At 36.2% G+C, this 16,254-nt stretch overlaps 1 long non-coding RNA gene across 2 annotated transcripts in view; it reads left to right on the top strand.

Annotated features, from left to right (window-relative positions):
- Positions 1-9,648, top strand: part of LOC105376250 (uncharacterized) — a 100,071-nt gene extending 90,423 nt beyond the window's left edge. The window contains exons 2-4 of one of the 2 annotated variants that reach the window (XR_930305.2): positions 2,356-2,532; positions 3,171-3,375; positions 9,591-9,648. This is a non-coding gene — a long non-coding RNA (uncharacterized LOC105376250). Of the gene's footprint in view, positions 1-2,355; positions 2,533-3,170; positions 3,524-9,590 lie in introns of those variants that run through there. The other variant, XR_930304.2, reaches the window with a different exon arrangement.
- Positions 9,649-16,254: the final 6,606 nt, after the last annotated feature.

Below are 16,254 nucleotides of genomic sequence, written 5' to 3'. Positions count from 1 at the left end.
TATAGCATATAATTCCATTGGTATGAAATATCCAGAATGGCAACTCTGTAGAAACAAAAAACCAATCAGTAGGTTGAGGGTGCAAGAGGGATTAACTGCAAAAATCCACAAGAAAATATTTCGGGTGATATAAATAGGATAAAAATAGATTGTGTTGGTGGTAGCCCAACTCTATAAATTTACTAAAAAAAATGAATTTCATACTTATAATAGGTAGATTTTATGTTACAAAAATTATACCTCAATAAAGCTATTATAATAATAAAAAACCTCCCCAAATCTAATTTACAATGAGTACTCTAATTTCCATCATATAAATGTACTACCATTTTAATTAATCAATACTCTTATTTGAGTATGTTTTTGGTTCTGATTAGGCTATTATTAAAACATGTGCACATGTGGTGCACAAACAAATGTCTGCAATGTATATATATGAGTATTTTGTCTATGTTACAAATTATTTTTGCACCTTTTTTTTTTTTTTTTTTGAAATGGAGTCTTGCTCTGTCACCCAGGCTGGAGTGCAGTGGCGTGATGCAATCTCGGCTCACTGAAACCCCTGCTTCCTGGATTCAAACAATTCTCCTACCTCAGCCTCCTGAGTAGCTGGGATTACAGGTGTGTGCCACCATGCCCAGCTAATTTTTGTGTTTTTATTAGAGATGGGGTTTCGCTATGTTGGCCAGGCCAGTCTCGAACTCCTGGCCTTAGGTGATCCGCCCACCTCAGCCTCCCAAAGTGCTGGGATTACAGGCCTGAGTCACCATGCTCGGCCTCTTTGCATCTTATAAATAGCTTTAAAATATTTGAATGTATTTATCTTCAGATGCAATTGTTCAGCTGCTATTTCAAGTGATGCAGAAATTTATATTCCCAGCAGCAGAGAAGTGTGCTTATCTCACAGATCCCTGTTTGGAGATTTTTTTTTTTTCTAGTTTTGCTAATTTGAGAGGTGAGGATAATAACTCATTGTTTTAATTTGCGTTTATTTAATTGCTAGCGAGGTTGCCTTTTTAAAACATATGCTTATTCAGCATTTGTATTTCCTCTTTTGTGAATGCCTCTTCATGGCATTTTATAGCCTGTTTATCAGTTAGAATCTGAATGCATTGCATAAATTTTCTTTATATGTTAAGAATAACTCTTATTCTGTTACATTTGTTTAAAAATTTTCCAGTTTTCCCCCATAGTATTTCAATTTTACCTTTGATGTTTAGGTAAAGCTACTTTATATTTTCATATAGTAGCATCTAATCTTTCTTTTTATATAATTTCTTACTTTTTAAAATTAAAATTACCCTCTTTCCAATTACCCCTCAATATAATCAATTATCAATATTCCTTCTTGCTTTTAAATATTACATTTAATTCTTTTATAAATCTGTAATTCTTTCAAGTAGACAGTATTGGGGAATGTTTCCCTGCAACCCAAGGCTTCATCTTTGGGTAAAAGGGCTCATAACCATGTATTAAAAATAATATTTCTAGCCTGGGCAACATGACAAAACCCTGTCTCTAGAAAAAATACAAAAATTAGCCAGACATGGTGATGGGTGCCTGTACTTTCAGCTACTCAGGAGACTGAGGTGGGAGGATTGCTTGAGGCCAGGAGGCGGAGGTTGCAGTGAGCCAAGATCACACTATTGCACTCCAGCCTGTGCAACACAGCAAGACTCCGTCTCAAAAAAATAAATAAATAAAACAATCTAATAATATTTCTTCAATAGATTTGTGATATTATCTCAATGTTGTATTAAATTTCTATTCTTATACCAAAAACATAATGTTATTTTAAAATTATTTACGCTGTATAATATATGAGAGTACATCTTTCTAATAATTATTTTTATAACTGACAGCTATTTTTACCTATTATTATTGTGGATGAATTTCAGAATTACCTCATTAAGTTTTTTAAAAGTCCTGTTAAGATGGTTGGAAAATCTGATACATCTGTAAGTTAATTTAGAAGAAACTACTCTCCTTTCATAATTGGGCCTTCTGCCCAGGAACACTGTTTATCTTCCCATTTAGCCAAGTATTTTTTATATTTCACTGTAAGGTTTTGTGGTTTTCTTCATAAGCATCTTACATATTTCTTGTTAAAGCTATTCATAGGCATTTTATGTTTTCTGTTGCTATTGTGAATAAGATATTTTAAAATCATACTTCCCAACTAGTTATTGCCAGTGAAGAAAAATGCTATTATTTTGGTGTATTTATCCTGTAACCAGTCTCTTTTCTGTACTCTCTTATTAGTTTTAATAGTTGTTCAGTTGATTCTCTTGAGTGTTCTAGATATCAACATATATATTTTTATAAAGAATGATAATTTTGTCTTCTCATTTTCAGCAATTATCATTCAAGCAAAGCCATCTTTATTGCAAAGAATGGAGACCTCTGTAATATAGCACAGGAATAATGAATGCATCTGGTCTGTGTGGCAGAGGGGCTGTGACTGAAAGCACACCATCAGGCAATGCTGTAGAAGCGGGAATCTGATACAACCTGGTTTAATGAGAACTGGAGGTAGGAAGCCGCTAGAAACCAAAGCCACTCTCTCTGGCTTTTAGAAGCTATATGATACTCTATGATATTTTGTTTCCCTCCATTTCTTGTGTCTCTAATCTCTCCTTGTCTCCATCCTCTTTTTCTTAGAAGAATTTTTCTTCTGCCAAGTGGCTGCTAAACATATACCTGTCCTCTTAGTGCTAACATCTAACATACACCCACTATCTTCTCTCTGGTTTTATGTCTAACTGCTCAAGAGAGAGACTGATCATTACTGCCAGGCGATGGATTGGCTGACCTTGGTTCAGGCCTCCACATCTTGTCTGTTCAGCATTGCCAAGATTGGGGCTGGTTTACGTGATGGAAACACAGCCTGTAAAGTCTTTCTCTTCAGGTCTATTGCTGCTGTTTTTGGCAACTTTTGATGGTTTCATACCATGAATGAAATAGCTGTTCCACTCCTTCTCTATTCTTGGAGGAGTTTATAAAGTATAAGAATTATCTTTTCCTTTAAAGTTGGAAAGACATTACCTAGAAGAAAAAAAATTGTTTGAAACCAGCAGTTTTCAGGGAAGAAATTCTTTGGTGACTCTTTCAATTTCTCCCATAATTATTGTTCCAATCAGGTCATGAGTATTTCTCTATTTCTTTCCTAGATCATGATCTCCTGGACAGCCAGAACTATGTTTTATTTATCTGTTTGTGGCCAGTTTCCAGCCCTGGGCCTGGCCTTGAGCAAGCCCTTGAGTTGAAATGATTTAAATCAGAGATGGCACAGATAATAAAAACAGGAATGGATATGGAGATAGAGGATGAGAATTTGGGTATTAACTTGGTTATTTACTAATTGGAGGGATTGAGGTAAGTTGCTTCATTCTGAGTCTCACTTCTCAAATTTGTACAGTGATGAAGTTTGGGATTGGAGTATATGTGGAGAGGAACCTCCAAAACCTTTACCGTGCTTCAACATTCTAACTTAAGCTTAAACGAAAAATTGAATTTTTACCTGGAAAGAAAAAAAATACTGTTCAGAATCCTGTGTTAATAGTTGTTGGTATTAATAAACAAGTAAATAAAGTAAATACATGCATTAGGTTTTATTTACCCTCCTACAGTGGAAGATAATCATTTGTTAGTTCAAGCCCTGAGGCATTACCTTCGTGACAGCTGGTGAGGTACGTGTGTAAAATTGAAACATTTTTATGAAAAATCCTAACAAAGCATTGCTGTGTGTGCCTATTATTTTAATGTGAACTAACAGCCTTATTCGAGCAATTTGTCACATTTGAAAATATAAACTGGACCCCTTATTCATGCATTTTCTGAAGATGCTGCTTTGGTGCTGACATTTGTTGGTGCCCTTGGTCATAGGAGTGTGTGTGGACCCATTCATATTCTCTTCTGATTTAGATCAGTGGGCAAGAAGGTCTTACACACAGTTACAGATCTTTCATATGCCCTTTGTGTTCTCAATTATGTAGGGGATTTTGACTGGCTAGCTGCAATCAGTCTGTGAGAAAGATGAAAGAAAATGACCATGACCATCACACACTGGAGTAATTGGGTGTCTTCCCTGCCTCCTGGTGATGACCAAGGACGGTTCCCATCAAAAACACCTAAATTCAAAGAAGTCAGCAGTCTGCTGAATGGAGTCCCGGGATCAGGTTACATCAAACTCCAGCTTCCAACGTACATTTCAAATATGAAACATAAACACCGATTGCAAATCTGAAGACATTTTCATTTAGCCCTAGGCCAGGATTTTTAATTTAAAAAAAATAAACCTGTCAAGGTCTGCAGGAAAGGCTCTTAGATATTCTGGCCAATGGTTTATTTAAAAATCCAATAATGCAATTTCCTTAGCAGCAGGAGGCAAGAGACCTTCTCTAAGCTGAATGTCCCATAACTGGATGGTAGCCAGATTCCCAGTACGTGAAACAGAAGTCCATGAAACAGAAACACATTCCCAGTACATTAAACCCCTTTATAAAAGGGGTGCTACCTTGAAGGCCCAGGACAGGATATTCTGAATGCCATTTCTCCCCAGAATAACTATGTATATTGGGAGCAAGAAGACCTGGTAATCGAATCTCACTTACTATCCATGTGAACTTGACCATTCACATGGATTATTTATGTATTTATTTTACTATTAATTTATTTTTGATTTTTTTACTTTAAGTCTGGGGATACATGTGCAGAATGTGCTGGTTTGTTACCTAGGTATACATGGGTCATGGTGGTTTGCTGCATCTATCAACCCGTCACCTAGGTTTTAAGCCCCACTTGCATTAGCTGTTTGCCCTGATGCTCCCTCTCTCCTCACCACCCCCCAACAGTTTCTGGAATGTGTTGTTGCCCTCCCTGTGTCCATGTGTTCTCATTCTTCAACCCCCACTTATGAGTAAGAACATGCAGTGTTTGGTTTTCTGTTTTTCTGATTGTTTGCTGAGGATGATGGCTTCCAGCTTCATCCATGTCCCTGCAAAGGACATGATCTCATCCCTTTTTCTGGCTGCATAGAATTCCATGGTGTATGTGTACCATATTTTCTTATCCAGTCTATCATTGATGGCATTTGGATTGGTTCCATGTCTTTGCTATTGTGAATAATGCTGCAATAAACATATGTGTGCATGTATCTTTATAATAGAATGATTTATATTCCTTGGGGTGTATACCCAGTAATGAAATCACTAGGTCAAATGGTATTTCTGGTTCTAGATCCTTGAGGAATCACCACATTGTCTTCCACAATGGTTGAACTAATTTACATTCTCACCAACAATGTAAAAGTGTTCCTATTTCTCCACAGCCTCTCCAGAATCTGTTGTTTCTTGACTTTTTAATAATCACCATTCTGACTGACATGAGCTGGTATCTCATTGTGGTTTTGATTTACATTTCTCTAATAATCAGTGATGTTGAGCTTTTTAAAATATGTTTGTTGGCTGTGTAAATGTTTTCTTTTGAGAAGTGTCTGTTCATATCCTTTGCCCACTTTTTGATGAGGTTGTTTGTTTTTTTTCTTGTAAATTCGTTCCTTGTAAATTCTGGATATAACACCTTTGTCCAAAGGGTAGATTGCAAAAATTTCCTCCCATTTTGTAGGTTGCCTATTCGCTCTGCGATAGTTTCTTTTGCTGTGCAGAAGCTCTTTAGTTTAATTAGATCCCATTTGTCAATTTTAGCTTTTGTTGCAATTGCTTTTGGTGATTTCGTCATAAAATCTTTGCCCATGCCTATATCCTAAATGGTATTACCTAGGTTTTCTTCTAGGGTTTTTATGGTTTTGAGATTTACATTTAAGTCTTTACTCCATCTTGAGTTAATTTTTGTATAAGGTGTAAGGAAGGGGTCCAGTTTTAGTTTTCTGCATATGGCTAGCCAGTTTTCCCAGCACCACTTATTAAATAGGGAATCTTCTCCCCATTGCCTGTTTTTGTCAGGTTTGTTGAAGATCAAATGGTTGTAGATGTGTGGTCTTATTTCTGAGGTCTCTATTCTGTTCCATTGGTCTATATGTCTGTTTGATACCAGTGCCATGCTGTTTTGGTTATTATAGCCTTGTAGTATAGTTTGAAGTCTGGTAGCATGATGCCTTCAGCATCGTTCTTTTTGTTTAGGATTGTCTTGGCTATGTGGGCTCTTTTTTGGTTCCATATGAATTTTAAAGTGTTTTTTTTTTCTAATTCTGTGAAGGGTGTCAATGGTAGTTTGATGGGAATAGCATTGAATTTATAAATTACATTGAGCAGTATCACCATTTCACAATATTGATTGTTTCTATCCATGAGGGTGGAATGTTTTTCCATTTGTTTGTGTCCTCTTTTATTTCCTTGAGCAGTGGGTTGTAGTTTTCCTTGAAGAGGTTCTTCACATCTCTTGTTAGCCATATTCCTAGGTATTTTATTCTCTTTGTAGCAATTGTGAATGGGAGTTCATTCATTCACATGGATTATTTAAATAAAAAACTTAAATTTTAAACCCCAAATTTAAAATGTGTCATATAACTGCTAGCAATCTCCCAACTTTGGTTGCTTATAGACCAAGAGTAGAGAAAGAGTCTATGTATTGTCTAGCCCTGCCCTGTTGGTCAGAACTGGCCCAGAGAAGCACCACTGACTATTTGGAGCAATCAAACTTCCTCTCTCTAGAATTTAAAATCACTAACCAGAAAAAGGGACTCAGCCATGGGCACTGAAGCTATAAGAGCCAATGATCTCAAGGGTCAAAACACATTTTGGAGTAGCTATGACGGACTATGGTTAATCTAAAGAAACTGGTTCTTAGACAAGAGACTAGCACATATGGATATGCAGAAGCAGGAATGGGAGGCTATGTAAGCCCAAAGAGCAAGAGAGAGGATGCAGACATCTGATAATATTCTAGTTCCTATGTGGTCTGGAAGTTGAGTTCATGAGAGTTTCTGCCTTCCATTGTCTTGAATTTCTCTGAGTAAAATTTTATTCCTGGAAAGCAACTACAAGAGAATGTCATAACTTTTTATCTGAGCAAACTTTAGGTATCTCTTGTCTTACCAAATAATTGAATTCACAAATACTTATTGAACATGCTTTATGAAACAGGATCTATGATGAAAGCTGATGAAAAAGCAATGAACAAGATGGGTACATTTTCTGATTTCATAGATCTCGTATTTTAATGGGAGGATAAAAAGACCAAAATAAGATAGGAAAACAAAACCCATATGTACATAAGTAAGTACAGGTTGACACATTAACAAATAAAAAATTAAAAACAAATGAAAAGACAAAACATGTTTTCAGTTCAAAGACTTAGTAGTGTTAAGACTGATCTATAGATCAAGATTTAAGGCAATCCTTATCAAAATTTCACTGGACTTTTTTACAGAAATTGACAAGCTGATCTTAAAATACATACTGAAATGCAAGTGACTCAGCATAGCAAAACAATCTTGAAAGACAAAAAAAAAAATCTAGAGAACTCAATGTTCTAAATTTTAAAACTGAACACAAACTGACAGTAATCAGGCATAAGGATACAAATATAGATAAATGGATAGAGAGCCCAGAAATAAACCATCATATTTTTGGATAGTTGATGTTTGACAAAGGTGCCAGGACAATTCAGTAGGGGAAAGCAATAGTTCTTTCAACAAATGGTGCTAAGATGACTGAATATCTACATTGAAAGGAATGAAGCTGGGCCTCTTCCTCTCGCCATACACATAAATTAACCAAAATAGATCATAGCCATAATATAAGAACTAAAACCACAAAACTCTTAGAAAAAACATAGGAATAAATCTTTGTGACCTTAGATTAGTCAATAATTTCTTAAACACAACATTAAAGGCACAAGTGACAAAATAAATTGTATTTCATCAAAACTAAAACCCTTTACGCTTCCAAGGACACCATGAAGAATGTGAAGAGACAATTTGCAGAATGGAGAAAATATTTGCACATCATACATTTGATAAGGGATTTGTATCTGGAATACATAAGGAACGCTTACAATTCAATTATTAAAAGACAATCCAATTTAAAAGTGGGTGAAAGATACAAATTTACATTTCTCCAATGAAGATATACAAATGGCCAATAAGCACAAGAAAAGATGCTCAACATAATTAACCATTAAATAAATGCAAATTAAAACCAAAATGAGATATCACTTCACACACTCTAGGATGTTTATAGTTAAAAAAGATAGTAAATGCTGGCAAATATGTGGAGAAATTGAAATCCTCACACACTGCTGTTGGAAATGTACAATGGTACAGTCACTTTGGAAAATAGTCTAACCGTTCCTCAAAATGATGGAGAAAATGAGGAGTGAGTTCTAATAGGTATGGGCTTCCTTTGGGGGTGATGAAAATGTTCTTAAATTGATCATGGTAATGGTTGCACAACCCTGTGCATATACTAAAACCCATTAAATTTTGTACTTAAATTGGGTGAATTGTGGAATAATATTGTTAATAATATCTCAATAAATATAAATATATTTCATTAAAAATAAAATATAGGGGCAACGTTTCTTCCCTTGCAGGAACATTAGCAAAATTGAGTCCCCGGCTATTTGTTTGAATTTGTATTATTGTTGTAAATCATCCTAAATAGTTCTTAACCAACCATGGACTCAAAGTGTCATAGCTACTTATATTTGTGAAAAAATATATTCTTTAAATGGAAGGGAACATCCCTACACATGATATCTAAGAGTGAAGGGACATTCTTAAGTATTGTTATCAGGAATTTCAGAACACAAAGTGAAATTTTTTGCCATGCAAAAAATTGCTTTAACGTATATTTTTTTCAAAATCAGATAAAGCATTGAACTTGATGATGATGATATTACCGTATGTTAACTACTTATTATGTACCCAGTCTGTGCAAAGCACTGCATAAGCATTAGTTTCTGTAATCCTTCCAACAACCTTCAGACATTTATTTTGTTTCCCTTATTTTTGATGGAATGATTGAAGCTCAGTCAGATGGGTTAGTTAACTTGTCCAGTATCACACAGTTCATAGGGGCAGTTTGAAATTTGAAAGCCAGGAATGGTTGATTTCCAAATACATTTTACTGTTAATCTCTAATTATGCTTTTCCTTTACTAGTACGTTTGTGTTTTTAGTTTTTCTGTTTTTATATTTTAAGCACATAATTATGTAACTAATTATGTGCTTAAAAGTATAAAATTAATGCAGGTCCTTTGTAGAAATCTTGAAAAAATAGAAGTGTGCCATAGGTGACACTGGGAATAACTGGAGTTTGAAATGGGGAAATAAAATTGCTGATAAAATTATAATATGTGTTTGTATTTAGTACTATTAAAGGATGCTTATGACAATGAAATGTACGTTATAAAGCAATTGAATTGTATTAGCTGTTTACATACACAGTTGACCTTTCAACTGTAGGGTCATGAGTTTGAAAAGTGGGTCCACTTTTACGTGGATTTTTTTCAGTTAAGTTTACATTGAATGTGCTTGCCTCTCCTGCTTCCCCTTCCAACTCCTCCACCTGTTCCATCTCTGCCACCACTGAGACAGCAAGACCAACTCCACCTCTTCCTCCTCTGTAGCTTACTTAATGTGAAGACTACAAGAATGAAGACCTTTATGATGATCCACTTCCACATAGTGAGTAGTAAACATATTTGCTTTTCCTTATGATTTTTCTTAATAACATTGCTTTTCTGTAGCTTACTTTATTGTAAGAATACAATATATAATACATATAACGTACAAAATATGGGTTAATTGACTGTTTTTGTTATTGGTAAGGCTTCTTGTCAACAGTAGGCTATTAGTAGTTAAGTTTTGATGAAGTCAAAGTTATACATGGATTTTTCACTTCACAGTGGTCAGGTGCCCCAATCCCCACATTGTTCAAATATCAATCGTATTATATATGTTATATTACTTTACATATATTACAAAATATATTATGTATTACATAAGTAAACTATATAAGTAAAAATATCTGCAAAGAGAAAGTTCTATAAGTATTTGTACCAAAAGTATTTATACCAACTTGTATAGATTTATACCAAAATACCAATTGTCTCTGAATGGATTTAGGCATGTATCTTTATTTATTTGATTTTCTATATTTTTAAATTGTTTTAACATGATCATCTTTGACTTCTCAATGAATCAATTTCTGGATGCTTTCCATTTCCTTTGGAAATATGAATAATGTCCTCTGTAAGTTAGACTCTTAGTTGGTATACTGGTCCTGAGCGTTCTAGCCCACTTCTGTTTTAGCTGACTTTTCATTAACCTACAATTACAGATCTCAATCTCATCAGATAAGAAGGACTTTATTGTAATGAGGGCAGGGTGAGCACCCAGAGTCAAACAATTAGTAAACAGACTCCATCGACACAGTTGAGTTGCTCTTCAGAGCAAAAGAATCTCACACATAAAGCTTCAGAATCCATGCACCATGTTCCCAGGCAGTTACTGCCTTCCCCTCCCCGCAACTTTTTTATTAGTCTTTGAGATTTGTCTCTTTTTTTTTTTTTTTCTGGTCATTTCCCTCATATTTTTAATTATTAGTATCTCTAGGGGAACAACAGTAACAAAAGTGGTAACAGCCAACAAACCAACCTTCACTAGTTAAATTGGTTCAGTTAAAAAAAACAGAGACTTTCACTATTTTGAGTCCAAACATCATAAAGCATTTATCTCAGCAGAGAACACATTGGCAATATTTGGATATTTTCATCTCATTTTAATTATTTGGAATAACTTGGGAAACCAGGAATATCCAAGAAGACTGATGGCAGATTCATCCGTTTTTATTAATGATTACAAATTACATTTCTTAGAAATGACAACATACACATTCACAGCTCTCTAGGAGTTCAGAGAAAGTCATTGCTTTTTTCAGAAGAAAAAAAGGTCTTTAGAGTGAGTTTTTCTTCTCATGATAATAAATCTCAGAATGTAGAGCAGACAAAGACCTTAGTTACTGAGTCCAACTCCCATATTTTACAGACAAGGCACTGAGGCTTAGATAGGGAAATTGTTAACCCAAAGTAACAGAGCAAAACACTGGCAGAGCCAGGGAACAGAACTGAGTCTCTTGACTTTAAGTTCTTATCATACAAGGTCAGGCAGTTAAAGCAAATAGATAATATTCACCAGGGTAAGACAATAGGGAATGGTTTGAACTGGAGTGAACTGGAAATAACACGGTCTGCCACTATTCTGGAAAACAGACATACATCTTCAGACTGGATTTGGCCCCTAGCTTTCTGTATGCATGCCCTACTACATCAAACCTCTCATTTATAAACTCGAACACATTTATAGATGGGTTACATTATTTACATTGAGTTGATGACTCCACGGTTTTAATAAAAGGGCCCTGGAGACTTTAACTTAGTCTCCAGCTAAAAAAATACCGTTTGCAGTCACCAATCTCAACTTGAATCTTTCCAGTGATGGGGAACTCACTCTCATAGAATTTAGCACATTTGATTGGCAGACAGCCTCAGTCATTAAACTTATCTTCATTAAAATAAAGCAAACTTCTCTGTGACTTTTCCTACTAGCCAAATGTTTACAATTGAAGCCAAACAGGGTTAAGTCTCATTCGTTTGAAGAATGGCAGCTTTTAGAATACATGAAGATAGTTTGCATGCTCTTCCACATTTTCTCATCTCCCTTAACCTTTCTTTATATGATATATGATATTCAGCTGGTGGTGTATTCAGAAAGGTGAGGGGAAAGTCCCTCCAAACCAAAATAGCTCTTATAATAGTCCATCATTATGTCTAAAATTAATTCAAGGTACTAAAGTATTCAAAGAGATGTCAAAAGAAGTGGAAGAAAGGTTCAGAAAGGAAACATGGAGAAGGTATTTGAAGTTAATAATAATGGCATGTAACATCTATCAAAATCTTATAGGATGCCAAGGACTCTGCTAAAATATTGTATTCAACTCTCACAACTACCCAATAGAGAGGCATTTTGTCCCCATTTTATAGATGAAGAAATTGAGCCTCAAGAAGGTTAATTGACCTGCCATTGTCACTTAGCTCGAAAGGACAGAACCAGGATTTAAGCCAGATCTCTCTGATTCCAAAATCAGTGCTCTTAAGAGCCTCGGTCATATTGTCTGTTCTTTATAATTTGTTGACTTCTCTCTCTTCTGTTAAAAAGATACAACTTCAGATAAGAACTGGACGTTCTTCTATGAAGAAATTTTAGCTGTTTCCATTGGTCAATGGATGAACAAAGATGATACATAAATTTTTTGCGTAAAACAAGAACCCTTCTCTTCTAAGCTCCTACCCACTTTTTCAGATTTTTTTGGTAACTTTTTCTTCAAGCACCCAGTATACTAAGCACAAGAGACTACTTGCCACCGAGAAAACTTGCTGTATACTCTCTTAGCTTTGTGCTTTTCTCTCTGCTTTGAATGTTTTTTTTTCTACCAAGAGAAATTATATCAAATTTTCAAATCAGAGCTCAAGGTACCCCCCATCCATTTCGCTTCCTAACCCCATCAGAATTAATCCATCCTTCCTCTTTCTCATTAATAAATTGGTTCATATCTTTATCACCGTAACTCCACATTTAAACTCATGCCACTTTTAGAATGTGAATTTCTTGAGAGCAGGGGGCGTATTTTATTTATTTCTCATTTATAAACAATACATAACACAGTGCCTTGCATATTTAAAAAAATAGCACCTACTATGTGCAAGATGCAATTCATACTAGGAGCTATAACATCATAATGCTTGACTATTTCTTTATTGCCTGAACAAATGTACAAAACTAGAAAGACTAGCCTTCCTTCCTCTGCATCAATTAGCATTTTATTAAATGTGATGAATTCCATTTGCTGCAAAACTATGGCCCTTAAATGACTTTCATTTGGATATAGAGATGTACTTTCACGTTCAGAGAGCAGAAGATAAAATCAGGTGCCCTGTCATTATTACAACCACTGCCATTATGGTTATGATGATGAATATGAGATTATTATTATTTTTATTATCTTTAGCAAATGAGTTTTCTTTTCTCCAGAGCTTCCAGGAATGTTTCTCATGTGTTTTCAGCTGCCCCATCTTGTTCTGACACTTCTGACAGGGAGCTGTATAGAGATGGGAAAAGGATCTGGAGGCTGACCTTGGACTTGGGCTGGCCTGCTGATTGCAGACTGCCCGGGCTGCTGCCACTGCTTTGTCTCTCCCTCCAGCTGCACTCAAGGCCACCATTGATCAGCCCACTGAATGCTTTACAACTACAGCTTTGGACAGGCCATTGAAGAAATTGATTGCAGTCAATTCCCAGCAGATTGAGCCACATCGACTTGTCTCCTGGTCCCACAAATAAGCACCTTGACTCCCCTTTTTAATTACCCTAGTAAGCCTTCTGCATAATGGTCAGGGCACAAGTTGATGAGAGAGACAGACAGAGAAAGAGAGAGAAAGAAAGAGAGAAAGAGAAAGAGAGAGAGAAGGAAAATGTGGGGGCTGAAATAAAACAGTCTTCCCTAGAGTTGGGTGCTTTCTTAACTTGTGCCAGGAAACTGGGTCACATTTGCTTATTATGAATTTAGCATGTAGATTATTAGAAAACTTGATTACAAAATCAAGAATCAAGTTGGGCTCAAGACTCAATTCAGCCAACTAATTTAGTAAATTTGACAAGTTATTTTACATAGCTGGTACCCGTTTCACATCTGCAAATGAGAAAATTGCTAAGGTAATCTTAATAACTACAAACATGTGTAAATATTAATAAAACCATCACCACTACTACCAATATGATGAAGACAAAGATGGTAATGAGTGCTAGCATTTATTGAATATTTAGAGGTTCCCAGCACCATGATAATTTACTTACATGAATATTTTTTCTCAATAATTTTTAAGATATCATCCTATGATATGACATAGAAAATTTTTTTCTCTGTTTCACTTAAGTAGACACTGAAGCTCAGAGGTTTAGGCTATTGTCCAAATTCATAATATTAAGGATCAAACTCAAGCTTCTCTGGAGTCTATGTGAAATATAAGATAGCTTAGAAACTATGTTTACATACATTCTCTTGATTTCATATTAAGCCTTGCAGCTCTATATATGCATACTAGGAGATAAACTTGATAGGAGGCATCTTGGCTTAACAGTCTTGTGGTCAAAGAGGCCCAATCCTACTTCTGTCTCAGCACAAAGGGCAGCTCTGTGCCCCTAGTATTTACATATTTGCATCTTTGCTCTTAAGAAAAACTGGAAGTTTAAAATGACTGTTGTTTCTATCCTATGCATCACTCTCAAAGCTTCAAGATCATTCAGTGATTGATTCCCACAATATGAGCAGCAGACTACTTGCTTCATCTCCTGGAGATCAACGTCTCCTGGAGGACTTGTTCAAAAATGTATTCCTGGCCTGCTCTAGCACTATTTAATCCAAATTCTTAGAGAAGGGGTCCGGGACACTGCATTTCAACAAGGGCCCCTGGTGATTCTTGGGAATACTAATGTTTGAGAACCACTGTGACTGAGAATCATGTTTTATACAGAGCTCGAATTCAAGGTAATACCTCACCCTCATACCACCCAGCAGGCCCTGCATGCCACAACCCTCACAGAGGGTTTTGGCATTTTCCTCATTCTTTGTAGTCTGAAACCTTAGGTGTCTACCCATCAGCCATCCCCACATCCCTTCCTCCTCCTCCCCTGCTTCCTTGAATACAACACCCAGTTTCATTCAGGAGAATGTACATAGTCATAGAGGATGAATCATAATTGTTCTAGACCATTGAGCCATCCCTATTCTTTTTTCCAGTGACTGGTTAGAGGTGAGAATGTCATCTAATTCTGGCTAATATGAGGCAAAGTCTTTTGGGAGAACTCTTGGGGAAACATTTTAATTTCTCATAAAAGATAAATCTACATAGGGGGATGGTCCTTTGCTCAATTCCCTCCCTTCATACTTTGGACACAGACCTGTGAGGATGTGACACTTGGAGGTTCTACCTCAATCCTGCAATTAGGAGGTGACAGATGAGAAGCCAATGAGAAGCTAATATGGTGAGGATGGCAGAGCAAATAAATTCCTGTGTCCTTGAAGACAAGCTTAGAGCCACTCTACCATTCCTGAGGTCAACTGATTCTAGTCTAATTATATGAATCATAGAAGTCTTTTTGGGTAAGCCACTTAGTCAAGCTTTCTCATTGCAGCTCAAAGCATCTTAAATTTCTCCTTACCCTATATTGCCCTTAACATTTCTTCCCCTTTAAAATCAATGTAGAAAAATCATGCTGAAGCTTTATTGACCCAGCCTGCTACCTATCATGTGAGATTGAGAGATGAAGAGAAATTAACATGGCCATTCGACCCTGCTGTCAAATATCAGATGTTCTAACGAATCTTTGGAATATTCTGGCTTGTGGTAAATTGGTAGTAGGATTCTCTAAACAGAATTGGTCCTATAGAGTAGGGGTCTGAAAACAATGGCTTGCAAGCCAAGTCTGGCCTATTGCCTGTTTTTGTAAATCTCATTGGGACACAAACATACTCGTTCATTTACATATTGTGTATGATTGCTTTTATGCTACAATGGCAGAGTTGTGTTGCTGTAACAGACATCAAATGGCTCAAAAAACCCTAAAACATTTACTATCTGGGCCTTTTATTTAAAAGTTTGCCAATCCTTGATATCAATAATTCAGTTTTTGGTCAAAGAGCAAATCTTCTATTTTAGATACCAAATGGAAAGGATACCACAGTCATCCCATTGGAAAAATTAGAAAATCAAACTTTGCTCTCATCAAACAGAAAGGCAACCCACTTCACCAAAGGTGTAGACAGAAGGGATAGTTGTAAGCAGAACCGAAATTTTCTCACAGAGAAGAGACTTAACTTTTCCCCAACCTCGAGGCAGGAGAATGGCATGAACCCCGGAGGCAGAGCTTGCAGTGAGCCGAAATCACGCCACTACACTCCAGACTGGGTGAGAGAGCGAGACTCCGTCTCAAAAAAAAAAAAAAAAAAAAAAAAGAAAGTCTTCCCCAGTCTGTTAACAGGCAGAAGAGTAGAGGCTGGCAAAGCTCAAACCCGGATGCTTACCAGAGAAGTGGAACATTCCTTGGGAGACATGGGCACAGTCAAGGGTAAAGCTCGATCAATTACTAAGATTCAGAAAAGAAAGAAAGCTCAAGTTGAGAAAGGTGGCTTCTAAAACTAAGTACCAGAAGTAATGGGACTTGGGGAATTAAGGA

Source organism: Homo sapiens, chromosome 9, assembly GCF_000001405.40.
Source record: "Homo sapiens chromosome 9, GRCh38.p14 Primary Assembly".
In the NCBI taxonomy this organism is placed as follows: domain Eukaryota; kingdom Metazoa; phylum Chordata; class Mammalia; order Primates; family Hominidae; genus Homo; species Homo sapiens.
The sequence above is the reverse complement of the archived record's forward strand: the minus strand, read 5'-3'. Positions and strand labels throughout refer to the sequence as shown.